This window comes from Homo sapiens, chromosome 1 (assembly GCF_000001405.40).
Source record: "Homo sapiens chromosome 1, GRCh38.p14 Primary Assembly".
NCBI classification, from domain to species: domain Eukaryota; kingdom Metazoa; phylum Chordata; class Mammalia; order Primates; family Hominidae; genus Homo; species Homo sapiens.
This window is the reverse complement of record NC_000001.11, coordinates 153,499,103-153,515,014: the sequence shown is the minus strand read 5'-3', so window position 1 is coordinate 153,515,014 and position 15,912 is coordinate 153,499,103. Positions and strand designations below refer to the sequence as shown.

At 47.0% G+C, this 15,912-nt stretch overlaps 1 pseudogene, besides 1 other annotated feature; it reads left to right on the top strand.

Moving 5' to 3' along the window:
• Positions 5,172-5,221: an enhancer, noted in NCBI's record as "active region_1744". NCBI's record gives its function as "activates an Ori minimal core promoter by ATAC-STARR-seq in GM12878 lymphoblastoid cells {active_cell/tissue: GM12878}" and the evidence as "EXISTENCE:reporter gene assay evidence [ECO:0000049][PMID:35858748]".
• Positions 14,251-14,552, top strand: RN7SL44P (RNA, 7SL, cytoplasmic 44, pseudogene; annotated as a pseudogene).

Below are 15,912 nucleotides of genomic sequence, written 5' to 3'. Positions count from 1 at the left end.
GTTCAAGCGATTCTCCTGCCTCAGCCTCCTGAGTAGCTGGGAATACAGGTGCACGCTACCACGCCCGGCTAATTTTTGTATTTTTAGTAGAGACGGGGTTTCACCTTGTTAGCCAGGATGGTCTCCATCTCTTGACCTCGTGATCTGCCCGCCTCGGCCTCCCAAAGTGCTGGGATTACAGGCGTGAGCCACCGCGCCCGGCCATGTTGTCATACTTCTACAACAGCACCTGATCATAACCACCTGTTTACCTGTCTGTCTTCACGTGAACCTGTCTGACTGCATGGGAACCTCCCCTGACACAGTGATCCACACAGGCTCAGTAGTAGGGGTGCAGTAGAGCATACTGGTTAGAGCTCAGATTTTGGAATAAGGTGGAATCAGGTTCAAATCCTCCCTGTGCCATTGCTAGAGACATGACCATGGGCAAGCTACTTAACCACTCTGATCCTTAATTTTGTCATCTTTAAGTGAAGATACACTGGCTGGGCTTGGTGACTCACACCTGTAAATCTCAGCACTTTGGGAGGCTGAGTTGGGAGGATTGCTTGAGCCCAGGAGTTCAAGATCAGCCTAGGGAACATAGTAAGATCCCGCCTCTACAAAAAATAAAAAATATTAGCTGGGTGTGGTGGCACGCAACTGTGGTCCCAGCTACTCCAGAGGCTGAGGTGGGAAGATTGCTTGGCCCACAAGTTAGGGACTGCAGTGAGTCGTGATTGCACCACTGCACTCCAGCCGGGGTGACAGAGAGACCCTGTCTCAAAACAAAAACAAAAACAAACAAACAAAACCCCCAAAACCAAAAAACCAACAAAACAACAAAGATTCCATCTAGACTGTGGACTTTGCAAGGGCAGGGCCCCGTCAGTCTTGTCACTGTGGTATCCTAAAACCTGACCTCAACAATGGAAAAAAAAGAAAAAAAATTTGCCACAGGGACTGTGGGTAGGGAGGGGTGGAACAAGAGAATGTAAAATTCAGTTTGTCACCCTGTGTGGTTATTATTTTGAAGAAAACAATAAGAAAAACAATAGAGTCGAGCCGGCTGAGCCCAGCATAGTGGAGAAATGAATCCATTGCTCCTTGGACCATCTGTTCATCTTGAACACCTGGGGACGAGGGAACAGTCAGGGGGAGAGGCTGCCTGGGACACTTCTAGGAGGATCTGGGCAGAGGGAGAAGTGATGGAGCTGGATGGGGTTTGGGAGGGCGGGCATGGAGTGAAAGGCGCCCGGTGAAGCCTGCCGCCTGGGGAGGATGTGAGTGTTCCTGGACAAGGGGCTGGTGGTTGGGGTGCAAGCAGATTTGCCCTCTATGGTGGGCAGTCAGCTTGGCCTTTCTTGAGAGAAGGGAAGTCTATTGCGTGGGGCAATAAACTTAGAAAATTTGAAAAGACGCCATGACAGATACAAAAATAAAAACACAAAAAATTCAAAATTCTACCATCCTAACAGTGATTTCCAGTTGGGTTTTCATGTTATCTTCCCTGTGTCTGGCTTTTGCATTGTTATACTCATGGAGAGTGTACCGTTTGTCATTCTACTGCTTTTGTTTGACCCAATGGCATGAATCTGCCCCTTCCACCATATGCATCAGAGGCAGGTCCTCTCCACCACCCCACTAGGTGTCCGGGGTGCCCTTTGGTTGTATAGTTATCCTAGGGATGCAATGGAAAACTTCTCCTAGTGTGCACGTGTTGTCTGTATTAGGGTGTTGACTGCCACTGGATGGCACTGCTCACTGGGCTGGCAGCTGGTGGGTGCTTGGAGCAGAGAAGGAAGTTTCTATTCACAGGAAGCCCTGAGCAGGGACCAGCTGGGACCTCAGGTCCTGATGGTGAGAAGGCTGAGGGGTCAGCCATGAGGCCTAGTTCTACCCTGTCTCCTGGGAACCCACCAAGGCCTTGGTTCCTTCTCTTGCTCTTGCCCTGTTGCCAGCACACCCGACAACAAATGCCATGCTCTGGCAATTCTCCAAGTCTGGCTTGTCCCATGTCCTCCACTGCAGACTCCCCTTTCCTTCTGTACTTTCCTGGCTCCCCCAGGATACACCCACTTCCGACCCCGCTGCTTTCATCCCTCCACTCCAGAAGCCCTGTCCTAACTGCAGCTTTGATTATAGCAACATTGGTGTATGTGTCTGTTTTTGCACAAGCACCATGCTGTTTTGGTTAAAGTTGGTTAACTTCAGTGGTTGCTCACTACCTGGGTGATAGGACAGTTAGCATACTCCAAATATCAGCATCACACAATATACCCTTGTAACAAAACTGCACATGTACCCTCTGAATCTCAAATAAAAGTGGAGAGTAAACACACAGAAAACCTTGTAGCAACAGAAAAACGTTGAGATTAGGAGGGCTCATTCTTAGCGGTTGTTTTATGGGAGCAAAATGTCAATACCTGTATCTTGGTATTTGTTTCCTGCATTAATAAAATACTGGGGTGAATACCTGTTTTATATGTAAATGTTTTCAGAATTTATTGCATTAAAAAACACTGGAACTGTGTATTTAATATATTTTGAAAAAAATTAGAAAAACACTGCAAAACATCAAATAAAACACAAAAATTTCAAATCTCCAGCCAAGCAAAAAGCCCCATGTGCCTGCTCTTAGTCTCTTAGGTGAGGGAAGAGACTTACTAATAGTCTGTCCTGAGGAAACCACTCCCAGGAATGGGTCCAAACTCCTTTTAGTGCACACCTCCCTTTCCCCCAAAAACAGGCATTACTATTTTCCTACCAAATTTTCCTATGAAGGCATAATTACCATTTTGATGACAACACACAGATCCTTCCTGCTGATGTTCAACTTTTGCTAATGTCCCTTACTTCTTGACATCCTGGGTATCCTTTCCTCCCCCTAGTTACAGATTGCTTGTGCAAATACGTTAATAAATACCGCTTTTAGCTGTGAAGTTATTAAGAGTGTGAGTTATTACAGATTGTTCTGTGGCTGGAGCTCAGCGCTGGACTATGTTTTATGTTTTGACTGGTGCCCTTTGTGTGCAGCTCAGAGCCACAGTGTTAGTTTAGGAAAATACAAATCTACCATATGCAATGAATGATCAGGAAACTGTTGAATTTGGTGAGTAACAACTCTCTCAGAGGCCAGGCACTGTGGCTCACACCTGGAATCCTAGTACTTTGGGAGGCTGAGGCGGGAGGATCACTTGGGCCCAGGAGTTTGAGACCAGCTTGGGCAATATAGTGAGACTTTGTCTCTACAAAAAATAAAAAAAAAATTAGCCTGGTGAGGTTGCTTCTGTGGTCCCAGCAACTCAGGAGGCTGAGGTGAGAGGATGACTTGAGTCCCAGAGGTCGAGGTTGCAGTGAGCCATGTTCATGAGACTGCACTCCAGCCTGGGTGACAGAGTGATACCCTGTTTCTAAAAAACAAAACAAAACAAGACAAAACAAACAAAACAAACAAGAAACAACTTTAAAATGTTTGGAAGAAAATATAGAAAAAGATCGTTATGACCTTGGGGGTGGTGAAGGTTTCCTTAAGCAAGAAGAAAAAGAACATAGCCCAGAAAACGCTTTACTGCATTTAAATGAAAAATTTGTGTTAATCAAAAAGCACCATTAAAAAAATACAAAGCTAGACTCTGCCTCAAACAACAACAAACAGACAAAAAAACTTTCCAAGAAACTGAGAACCTTAAAAAAAAAAATCTGGGAGTGTGGGTGTCAATCTCCCCAGCCTCCTGCCTCAAATTTGGGAATAAAAATGAGACTTTCCCCCCACCTTTTTTTTTGGTTCTCCCATTTGAGGTCAGGGCTTGGGCCTGGGAATGAGGGAGCCCACAGGGTCAGGCTGCCCCGGGCCCTGGACACTGGCATCTACCTTTTCCTCCACGTGGCAGGAGACCGGGCCAGCCTTGGGCTGCCACTACCGGTCCTTTGGCTCCCCCTGTTGACCACCCAGTCTCCAATCGTCGTGGTCTTGCCTGCGGAGAGGCCTGAGGGGTCTAGCAGAGTGCTGGGATTGCCAAGGGAGAAACTGATGGCCAGATGTTTGAACAACAGCTGGCTGGAGCAGAAGCCAGACCCCTCTGCTCTTCTTTAGGGTCAAATCTCAAGTCACATTGTCCCAGTGATGGGCAGCCCTGCCCTGTAAGGAAAAGACTGAGCTAGACTTCTCATTCCCAATTTGTCTTCCACATTGCTGTTACATTTGGCTCTTTGGGCTGGGTGCGGTGGTTCACATGTGTAATCCCAGCACTTTGGGAGGCTGAAGAGGGTGGATCACTTGAGGTCGGGAGTTCGAGACCAGCCTGGCCAACATGGCAAAACCCTGTCTCTTCTAAAAATACAAAAATTAGCCGGGTGTAGTGATGCATGCCGGTAATCCCAGCTACTCTGGAGGCTGAGGTGGGAGAATTGCTTGAACCTGGGAGGTGGAGGTTGCAGTGAGCCAAGATTGCACCATTGCACTCCAGCCTGGGCGACAGAGTGAGACTCACTCTCAAATAGCACCAATCAACCAAACAACAAAAACAACAAAAAGAAAACATTTGCCTTTTTTGCTAATAAAACTGATCTGTAGCTTAAAATCCTATATTGACTTCCTATAATGCCCATAGAACAAGATCTAACTCCTCAGGCTTGCACCCAAGGCCCTCCTCAATTTTGCCTCAGTCTTTTCTTCTGTTTATTTTTTCATCAATTTGCCCCCTTCCCTAGGCCTGGATCTGTGCCTTGGGCAGAGATATTTTTAGAGACAAAAGAAACCTTTGCTTCAGTTATGTGTAGAGAAGTTTGGGGTTATAACAACGTGTGAGTGCAAGGTGTTATTTGGCCTGATGGCTCAGGCAGAGGAATAACAGATTATGATGTTTGAAAGATTAAAGTGGAAACAAACAAAATGCACCATAGCATAATAAAGCCAGTATTAATATTTTACAAAGAGGATGTTGAAGTTGTATTAATAGGGGGATATGCTTCCTTTGTGTAGAAATACTGATTATTGTGGTGAGTGGTGTTTGCCAAGCACCAAAGTGGGGATAAAACATCCACTAGCCCCATTTCTATGGCGCCAAATGCACCGGCCTCCCTGCGGTTTGCTAAGGACACCCCCTGCTGGCAGAAAGAGGGAGCATGGCACACATGCCAGACACTTGCCTGGTCTCCTGATCTTGCCATGCCCTTTTGCACCTCCATGATCTGTTCATGCAATTTATTCTGTCTCTTTGTATCCTCCTCCACCCCCAGCCTTCCATACCTAGCTCAAATGGGACCTCCTTGGTGACATCTCAGGTCCCTGTTCTTCTCTCCTATTGTACCCAATATAGTCCTCTACAGTTGCCCTTAGCACACCCTAGTGAAAGGATCAGTGTACAAGCCTGTCCCCCTCCACTTCGCCTTTCTTCTACTCCCCCCACTCCTGTTATCTAGACCAAAGGCTCTTCAGTGTGAGGGACCGTGCCACCCTCGTCTTCATTTAGCACAGGACCTGCCACATGGTGGGTACTCAGTAAATCTTTGCGGGATGGATGAACATACTTTCACATTGTGGAGGGTTGTGGAATAAGGGCAGGGGAGAGAGTTCCTGTGCAAGGTGTTTTTACGTTGTATTCTGACCCACACAAATCTTGGAAGATGAGTTCAGCTCTGAGGCAAGGAGGTGGATCGAATACTTGAGATCAGGCCCAACAGACAGGTCTCAGACTGCAGGTGCTGGGCAGAGGGTGTCCACCAGTCATGATCTCAGGAAGGCAATGAGGGCTCAGTCCTGATGAGGAAGCCAGGGTGCTGATTCGCTGCTATGTCCCTCACACCCAGCTCCATGCCTGGAGGACAGCAGGTGCTTACTAATCACTACCGGCTTGTTGAGTGCCCAGGACATGGTGATGTGCAATTGGAAACAAAACTCAATTCTCTTCAAATGCATGCCAATAAACTCACATTCTTATTTTTTTTTATTCCTGGATGCAATCTTGACAGGTCCCATAGCCTTTCTAGTCAATCTTAGGCCTCAATTTTCTTTTCTTTTTCTTTTCTTTTCTTTTTTTTTGAGACAGAGTCTTACTCTGTCGCCCAGGCTGGAGTGCAGTGGCACGATCTTGGCTCACTGCAACCTCTGCCTCCCGAGTTCAAGTGATTCTCGTGCCTTAGCCTCCCGAGTAGCTGGGACTACAGGCGCGTGCCACCATACCTGGCTCATTTTTTCTTTTTTGTATTTTCAGTAGAGATGGGGTTTCACTGTGTTAGCCAGGATGGTCTCGATCTTCTGACCTCGTGATCCAACCCCCTCTGCCTCCCAAAGTGCTGGGATTACAGGCGTGAGCCACCGCGCAGGGCCAGGCCTCAATTTTCAGGCTGTGAAAAGTCCGGCCTGAAGTTCAATCTCGTCTTCTCAAAGGCCCTCTCTTGCCTGGACTGGCTTTTGCCCTGCAGCGGGGAAGGGCATGTGGGTAGCTTCTTCACTGTCTCCCCTCTGTCCTTTCAGCTCTCCTTCCCCACACCATGTGTCCTCTGGCTCTTGTAAGTGGGGGAAGCAGGAGGAGAGGCAGTGCTCACAAAGGTCTTCTCACTGGCGTGTTTACAATCTGGCCTTGGTGGCCTCCTTGGGTGGTGGATGCTTGAACGCTGACCCCTGGGGTGGGCTCCCCAGCTCATGATCTCCTGATGTAGCTGCTGCCTTCTTCAGGTGGCCTCCCGGCCCCTGCCCCTGGCTTCCAGGAGAAGTCTCCACACAGACTCCTTGCGGGGTGGCCCTGTCCTGTAGGCAGGCTCCCTTTGTGGGGATCCCTGTCTGGCCACAGGACCCCAGCATTGCTCCAACATCAATCGGCTTCAGCCTCAGGCCTCTCACAGACACCCCTCCTCATCTGCTTTGGGGCAGGCAGCCTCTTGCCTTTGGACTTTTATAGGTGTGAGTCAGGAAGAATTTCCTGTATCCCCCAATTCTACAGGACACAGCTCACGCTCTCTGAGGGGTTCTCTTACAGCTCCTCTCACTTGGTTGAAGGGGGAAGGAGGAAACTTGCCCTCCTTCGTGGAGGTGAGGACGGGCAGCACGTGGCGCCCTCACCCCGCCCTCTCTGAGCAGTCCCCAGCCTTTCCCTTCCTTGAGGTGAGGGGTAGATAAAGTCACTGAACTGTGTTTTTGGTTCACCTCCCACCTAGAAATTTCTCCATAGATGGTCAAAAGCCTCTCTTAAGAATATATAGAAACTTAATGCCCTTTGTCCCCAGCTTTGAGACCAACATAAAAAAGGAGCTGGTGACAAAGTTCTATTTTAGCATTCCATTACATGAGGGCTTGTAGAATGAATTGTGAACAACTGGACTTAGAATAACGGGGCCCGGGGGTGAGGGTTGCTTCCAGGAGGGCTTCTGGGTGGAAAATGGGGCTGTGGGAGTGGAAGGGAGGGATGGCAGGGGGCAGCAGGGGAGCCGGCTCCAGACCCCCAGGCAGACTTGCACTTGAATCTTGGCTTTCTTTTTTCTTGGTTGTGTGTTCTTGGGAAAGTTACTTGTTCTCTCACATTTGCCTCATCTCTGAAATAGGGACTATTATAGTTAGGATTAAAGAGATAATGTCTGCAGGACACGCTTCACTCTGGTAGTATCATTTTTGGTATTCCTGTTCCTTGGGTGTGTGTGTGGGGGGTCCGTGTCAGCAGGAGGGGAGTAGGTGGGGCGAAGCCTTCTTGGCTCTGCTGGAAGCACCAGGAGGAAGATGGGTGGGAGGAGGGAGACATGGGGGGAGGAATTCAGTGCAGAGGTGAAGTCAGTTTCTGGCCCCTGGGTGGAGTGGCTGTTAGGGGAGAAAGCCGTGCCCGCTGAGTGTGTCCTCACCCTGTCCTGCACTGACAGCCTTCTCATTCCATGTCTGTGTGGGAGGCCCAACTCAGCCTTGGGCCTGGCCTCTGCAGAGTGGCCCACGTGGGCAGGGTCCTGTGCTCTCTGAGCCCTCTGGGTTTCTTTCTTCCCCCTTCCCCTCTTCAGGGCCAGCTCCTGCTCTCTGGCTGACCCGCCACAGGGATCTGGGCCTTGACCCAGGCAGCTGACTCATGTGCTCTTTGGATTCTCTGGCAAAAAATGTTGCAGCCTCCCCCACCCTGGCCTTGGAAATGGAAATTCTTGTTCAAGGAGCTGGTGAAGATAGTCAGCTGCATACAGCTGGTGGGTCAACAGGGACCAGGTGGCGGGTGTGAAAGGGCTCAGCAAGTTCAGAGCATCCTGCAAAGGGCTGTGGAAGCTAGCCGGTCTTTGGTGTCATTCCTGCATTCATTTTCACCCACACAGGTCTGACCACCGTCTCTTCCCATTTCTGATAACCCCATTCCTAGCGGAACTTTCTCTCCCCATTTTTAGTGGTGCTGGTGGTGCTCCCAATCATACTGCCTCACTCCTACCTGTCACAGCACAGGCCCGGCTGATCCGATAGCCCTGTCCCTTGATGCCTGGCACCCTGACCATGCCTACCTTGCTCAGCCCCTTGTAGTCCTGTGACAGAGGAAGCAGATGAGAGGTGGTGGCTCACTGCCCATGTGGACCTGGGTGCCATGTGGCTGTGCGTACAGGGGTGATGTAGCAAGAAGGATTTTGTAGCTGAGAAGAAATTGAATTTGGAACCCAGAGGTTGGATCCAGGTGATATGGTTTCCTAAAGACAGTTTAGAGACCATGTGATATGGTTTGACTGTGCACCCACCCAAATCTCAACTTGAATTGTATCTCCCAGAATTCCCATGTGTTGTGGGAGGGACCCAGGGGGAGGTAATTGAATCGTGGGGGCCGGTCTTTCCCATGCTATTCTCATGATAGTGAATAAGTCTCACGAGATCTGATAGATTTATTAGGGGTTTCCACTTTTGTTTCTTCCTCATTTTTCTCTTGCTGCTGCCATGTAAGAAGTGCCTTTGGCCTCCTACCATGATTCTGAGGCCTCCCCAGCCATGTGGAACTGTAAGTCCAATTAAACCTCTTTTTCTTCCCAGTCTTGGGTATGTCTTTGTCAGCAGCATGAAAACGGACTAATACACCATGTCAGGTAGGTATGCTGGAATTTCAATAAGACAAAGTTGAGAACGTGAGGGGAAACTTGGGGGCCTGTTCAGCAAACAGCCCCCAGGCTGACATCCTCTGGAATGTTCTGAGGAAATGGCATTCTCTGGGTCTTTTGCAACAAGTACCAACTTTACACAAATGACCCATCAGAGGGCTCTTTTTTCCAAGCCTCAAATCTAGCTCTTGTGATGATGTCACTCTGGCCACAATGATTATTGAAGAGGTGGGCACTACACTAAATTGGGCCAATCATGGCCTCTTCCTGGGGGAAGGATGTGAGGGAAAGAATGTCCTCTCTCCTTTGGATTGCTACCAGTGAATGACCAAAGTTGTGTCTCACACAGAAGCCCTCCTAGCATGCAAGAGAGTGCAAGATCTCCCAAGAAAGAGAGATGGAGCATCAATGGCATCTAGAAGCCAGGGGACATTATATGAGTTTTGGCATTTACCCCTGTATGATCCAGTGCTGTGAACTCTTTTCTCTTATTTTATTTTTCTTTTTTAGGGACAGGGTCTTGCTGTATTGCCTAGGCTGAAGTACAGTGCCTAGCCATAGGTGAGATCATAGCACAATACAGTCTTGAACTCTTGTGCTCAGGTGATCCTCCCAGCTCAGCCTCCTGAGAAGCTGGGACTATAGATGTGCATCATTGCACCCAGCTTCTCTCTCTTTCTCTTTCCTTCTTTCTTTTCTTTCTTTCTTTCTTTCTTTCTTTCTTTCTTTCTTTTCTTTCTTTCTTTCTTTCTTTCTTTCTTTCTTTCTTTCTTTCTTTCTTTCTTCTTTCTTTCTCTCTCTCTTTCTCTTTCTTTCTTTCTCTCTCTTTCTTTTCTTCCTTTCTTTCTTTTTCTTTCTTCCTTTCTTTCCTTTTTTCTCCTTCCTTCCTTCCCTCTCTCTCTCCCTCTCTGTCTCTTCCCTCTCTCTCTCTCTCTTTCTTTTTTTTTTTTGGATGGAGTCTCACTCTGTCGTCCAGGCTGGAGTGTAGTGGTGTAATCTTGGCTCACTGCAACCTCTGCCTCCCGGGTTCAAATGATTCTCCTGTCTCAGCCTCCTGAATAGCTGGGATTACAGGCTCACACCACCATGCCTGGCTAATTTTTGTATTTTTAGTAGAGATGGGGTTTCACCATATTGGCCAGGCTGGTCTTGAAGTCCTGACCTCAGGTGATGTCCACAAACCTCGGCCTCCCAAAGTGCTGGGATTACAGGTGTGAGCCACCACACCTGGTCAGCTTCTCTTTTTCTCTGAAGTGAGTCTTAGTAGAGGAGTTTTTCCCCTCAAAATATCTAAAACACTAAGACATCCCTTCAGAAGCCCCCACGTTGACACTATGTCATAGCAACATGTACCCTTGGTGACTCTCCTCTGCCTCACTATTCGAGTCACTGTCCTCTGCCCACACTTGTACCACTGCTTTCCACCAACACACACACACCTGGGGAAATGGAAAGATTAATACTGTATTAAGATCATTTTTCCCACTTGGCCCTGCAAATGACTCTGGGAGGTAGGTGGGTTGGGCAGGTTGGGTTTACCCCTATTTTGCAGGTAAGGAAACAGAGGCTCAGGGAAGTGAAAAGCTGTGGCCATGCCTCAGGGCTGGTGCCAGGGCTGAGTTGCAAACCCAGGTGATCTGGTGCCAGGCTGAGATGGCAGTGCCACTGTGAGGCAGTATGGCATTGCAGAAGGCAGCAGGGAGTTAGACTTTGACTTAGAAAGAGCAGCTAACTTCTGTGAGACTTAGTTTCATCAGCTGAAAAACTAGTGTTTTAGTCTGTTTTTTGGTGCTTCAGAATACCTGAAACTGGGTAATTTATAAAGAAAAGGAATTTATTTCTTACAGTTTTGGAGACTGAGAAGTCCAGGGTCAAGGGGCTGCATCTGGTGAGGGTCTTCTTGCTGGTGGGGACTCCCTGCAGAGTTCTGAGGCAGCACAGAGCATCAAGTGGTGCTGGGGCTGAGTGCGCTGGCTCAGGTCTCTCTTCCTCCTCTTATAAAGCCACCAATCCCACTCCCATGATCACCCATTAATCCGTTAATCCATTTATCCATGAATGAATGGATTAGTGGATTCGTGGGGCTAGGGACCTCATGACCCAATCACCTTTTGCAGGCCTCATCTCCCAGTACTGCCACACTGAAGATTAAATTTCAACATGAGTTTTAGGGAGGCCAAATATTCAAGCCATAGCAATGGGATACAATTATCTATCCTATAAAGCTGCCTTGAGTCTTAAAAGAGAGCTTCCAATTTAAAAGGCACCTGGCCCACAGACCGTGACACCATCATATTCTTGTGAAATGGCTCCTGAAGGTAGGGAGTAAGGCAAAATGTCTACACTACCCAGCCCAACAAACAGCAAGCACAAGGAAATATGAAGACCCTGGGTCAGTGCTCTGCGCTCCGTTCTCTCTTAGACTAGTTTCTACAGCCCGTGAAAGTGTGGGAGGACACCTGGTAACTGCGCAGTAATTTGCACACTTGAGTGGGCACTGGGATCACCGGAGGGCTTGTTAGAACACAGATCTCTGGGCCCCTATCCCAGAGGTCCTAACACAAGCAGGTCTGTGGTGGCCTGAGACTCTGTATTTCTAGTAAGATCCCAGGTGCCGTTGTTGCTGCCGTTCTGGGGACCACATTTTGAGAACTGCTGTCCTACAGGGTCTGCTCCTGGGAGGGCCCAGAGACAGGGTGTGGGGATCCCTTTGTGTTTTCTCTCCCAACCAGGCTTCACTGAATGGTTTCTGGAGCCCGTCCTGCATCCAGGCAGCTGGACCAGCGTCACTGGCAGCTTTAGTGAATGCGGTTAGTGAAGAACCAGAAAAAACAGGTGTCACACTTTTGGTGCTTGAATTTTTTTTTTTTTTAAATTTTTGAGACGGAGCTGACTCACTCTGTCATCCAGGCTGGTGTTCAGTGGCATGATCTCGGCTCACTGCAACCTCTGCCTCCCAGGTTCAAGCGATTCTTCTGCCTCAACCTCCCGAGTAGCTGGGATTGCAGGTGCGCACCACCACACCCAGCTAATTTTTGTATTTTTAGTAGAGACGGGGTTTCACCATGTTGGCCAGGCTGGTCTCGAACTCCTGACCTCATGATCCACCTGCCTCGGCCTCCCAAAGTGCTGAGATTACAGATGTGAGCCACTGTGCCCGTCCTGGTGCTTGCATTTTAAAAAGCCAGGGTAGAGGTGCAAGATAATAAAGATTTGGAAGCATATGTAAGCGTTCCCTAAGCTTCCTACCATGACCCCAGCCAATCCATATGGGACGACTGGTGGGGGCAGGAGCTGAGAGCACTGAGCTCACAGAACAGTTCTAGCCCTGAGATGGCCCTCCCAGCACTGATCAGTGCCAGCAGGAGGAACATAGGGCCTGGACACTTCACTGAGCCTCCCATCCCACCCACCAAAGGCCCACATGGGTGGTGGGGCCTGGAAACCGAGGGAGGTGGTGGTGCATGGAAGGGGTAGTCTTCCATCCCCTGCCCCAACTTGGGCAAGATGGAGCTTCCTGGCTACATAGGGTTACTACCAAACAGACAACTCCTTGTAGGGCTTATTTTATTTTATATTTTAATTTAATTTAATTTAATTTAATTTAATTTAATTTAATTTAATTTAATTTAATGTTAGTGTTTGCCTTCCTATCTGCCTATCACTATAAGGCAGCCAGAGCCCTGAGCTCTTCCTTGGTCTTCCCAATATTTCTGTATCTAACAAGAGAATAAAGGATCATTGGGCAGAAAGTAGACGTAAGAGAGAAGAAAGAGAATACTGGGAGTGGTGCATGGCACCCTCATTGTTACAATAAGAGTAGCTCCTAACAGTGTCCATCAACATTGCTGGATGTCAGTCACAACAGGCATGGACAGCAGGTAAATAGCCACAACAAATGCCAACTTTCTCTAGAGCTGTAGCATCTACCACATAGATTTTGTGTAGACCAAAAGGGCTCTCTGCAACCCAGGCAAAATGTATAAAAACACAGATATGCCTAGACACTCTCAGGCAAAAGTATTGCTCAAAGGAAAATAAAAAGATTGCCTATAAAAGAGCAATTCAAGTGAATCTCATATTTCTTAGAAGTTACAAATAAGCAAAATCTTCAGTTTTTGAGGAAAGAAAAGGTTGTGCCTCAGAATTGCATAAACATAATTAAGCAGCTAGCCATCTGTGAGGACACCAGAAAAATATCCCTAGATATACAAAGGTCCCTAATATTCTCTTCTTGAAGTAAAGAATCATGTTCTCTTCTTGAAGTAAATTACTTCAAGACTGGCTAAAAGATGAATAAAAATTTTAAGAATTCTGGAATGGTGACTTAGAATTCTTGATGGTAAACCAATAAAACTGGTTAAACATACTGTTAGATCTAAATAATTGAAATATAATAATAAAATTTACTGTAAGCTTAAAAAATAATTATTTCAAGAAAAAATAAAATGAAAATACAATTAATTAGCAATAATCAGGCTGGGCCCTGTGGCTCACACCTGTAATCCCAGAACTTTGGGAGGCCGAGGTGGTAGGATCACCTGAGGTCAGGAGTTCGAGACCAGTCTGGCCAACATGGTGAAACCGCGTCTCTACTAAAATACAAAAATCAGCTGGGTGTGGTGGTGGGCACCTGTAATTCCAGCTACTCGGGAGGCGGAGGCAGGAGAATCGCTTGAACCTGGGAGGTGGAGGTTGCAGTGAGCCGATATTGTGCCACTGCATTTCAGCCTGGGCGACAGAGCGAGACTCCCTCTCAAAAAAGAAAAAAGAATTAGCAAGAATCAGAGTTTAAGTCACAAGCCATATTGCTGGACACCAGTAAGTAGCAAGCAGATTGAGAAAGAGTAAAAGTGTATTAATTTCCTCATTTTACATGAGGAGAATAAAAGGATATACATTTATTCTTAATTTTCAAGATTAGAATAATATTTGTAAAAATGTTTTTGAAAATCTTTAAAGTACATGCAGGGAAAATGGAGAGAAAAATATGTTTTCCAAATAACCAGAGCATCTGATAAAACAAAACAGGACACATAAAATGAAAGCAGAAAGCAAAGGAAAGGGTGAGGAAGTATTAAAAAGAAAAACAGGCTGGGTGTAGTGGCTCACACCTGTAATCCCAGCACTTTGGGAGGCCAAGGCGGGAGGGTCGCTTGAGGCCAGGAGTTCAAGACCAGCCTGGCCAACCAGACGGGAGACCCCGTCTGTACAAAAAATAAAAAATTAGCTGGGTGTGCTGGTGCGTGCCTATAGTTCCAGCTACTCAGGAGGCTGAAGCGGGAGGATCTCTTGGGCCTATGAGTCCTGGGCTGCAGTGCACTATGCCAATTAATTGGGTGTCCACGCTAAGTTTGACATCAATATGGTGACCTCCTGGGAGCAGGGGACAACCAGGTTGCCTAAGGAGGGTGAACTGGCCCAGGTCAGAAATGCAGCAGGTCAAAACTCCTGTGCTGATCAGTATTGGGATCACTCCTGTGAATAGCTACTGCACTCTAGCCTGGGCAATAGAGCAAGACCTGGTCTCTTAAAAAAAAGGAAAAAAAGAGAAAAGAAAATTAACTATGCTCTGTTAACTGATATACAGGTAAGTTATATGCTGTTACACATTAAATGATGCAAAATTGTATGTACAGTGTAATTCCAATTTTGTGTAAAAATGGTAACAATTTCTCTAAACTTATATGACAGCATTTCTCATATTGCTTTCTGTAGAACACTACTTTCTATGAGATGTTTGTGAATAATTGTTCCAGAAAAAGGGATCTGGTAAAACAAGGCTAGGAAAATCTAAGCAAAACCATGTAAAACCATTTCATTTTGGCAAGTCTTCTCAGTGCCTTATTGGATATTTTTTCTTTTTGGCCACCCAGCTCCTGGACCCTCATCTTCCATGTGTGGACTTTCTCGTCTCATCAGGCAGTGTCCATCTCCTACAGCAGAAGCGGATGATCCCAGTTCCTTACCTTTTCTCTTCCCTGGTGGCTTCACCAGTCGGATAGATACACCTGTCTGGGAGTTGGAGCTGGGCTGGTTACCCCCGGAAGCAGAGGTGCTGGGGAACCCTTCCTGGCAGGGGCCAGCCACATTCCTCAGTGCCCATGCCATTCAGTGTTCAGAGTGACTATGCCAAGGTCCTCACCAGGCTGTTTTGGCGGTGTGATTTTGGCATTTCTCTTTGTGTAACTTTCCTTTGTTCTTGCCCACCTTCTAAACCCTAGTTCTCTAGTCTTCTTGAATCTAGAATTATTTCAGTTTTTTGAGAATACTAGAATTTAGTGTTATTTAAGTAAAATTTTGTTCTCCTCAAATCAGTTTGAGGCAGTTTCTGCTGCTCGCATTTCTGAATATTGACTGACGCATTATTATACTAATGTGTACTGTGAATTTCTAAAAGGGAGAAATTTTCCAAAGTTATTTGTCTGTACTTTTTCCCTTTTCTTTTCTGAAAACTTATGAATCTCCTGTGAAATTAGTATGGTGCGAAACGTAAACTTATGGCTATAAAAAAGTCTGGGAGGAAATACAACAAATGAAGCATAAAGGATATTTTATTCCAAATAATGGGTTGAGGACTTGTGTTTGTGTCTCCCTTCAGAGATCCCATTAAAGGGCGACTATAAACCCATCACAGCAGAGATGATATAAGGTGGATCAGACAGTGGGTAGGAGATTTAAACATTTCCCCAAGCTGGAAAGGCAAAGGAGGTGTGCTGATGGATAAAACAGAGTGGAGGAAGCCTCAGAACAGAATATGATGCCTGCAAAGGACTGGGGAGGAGGTGGAGCTGACCTACACTTTGGAGCCCCAGAGAGACTTAGGGATGAGTTGACCATGTAGGGTGGAAATGAGAAGGGACAGGCAATGCTAGGGTTAACTGAAAGTCT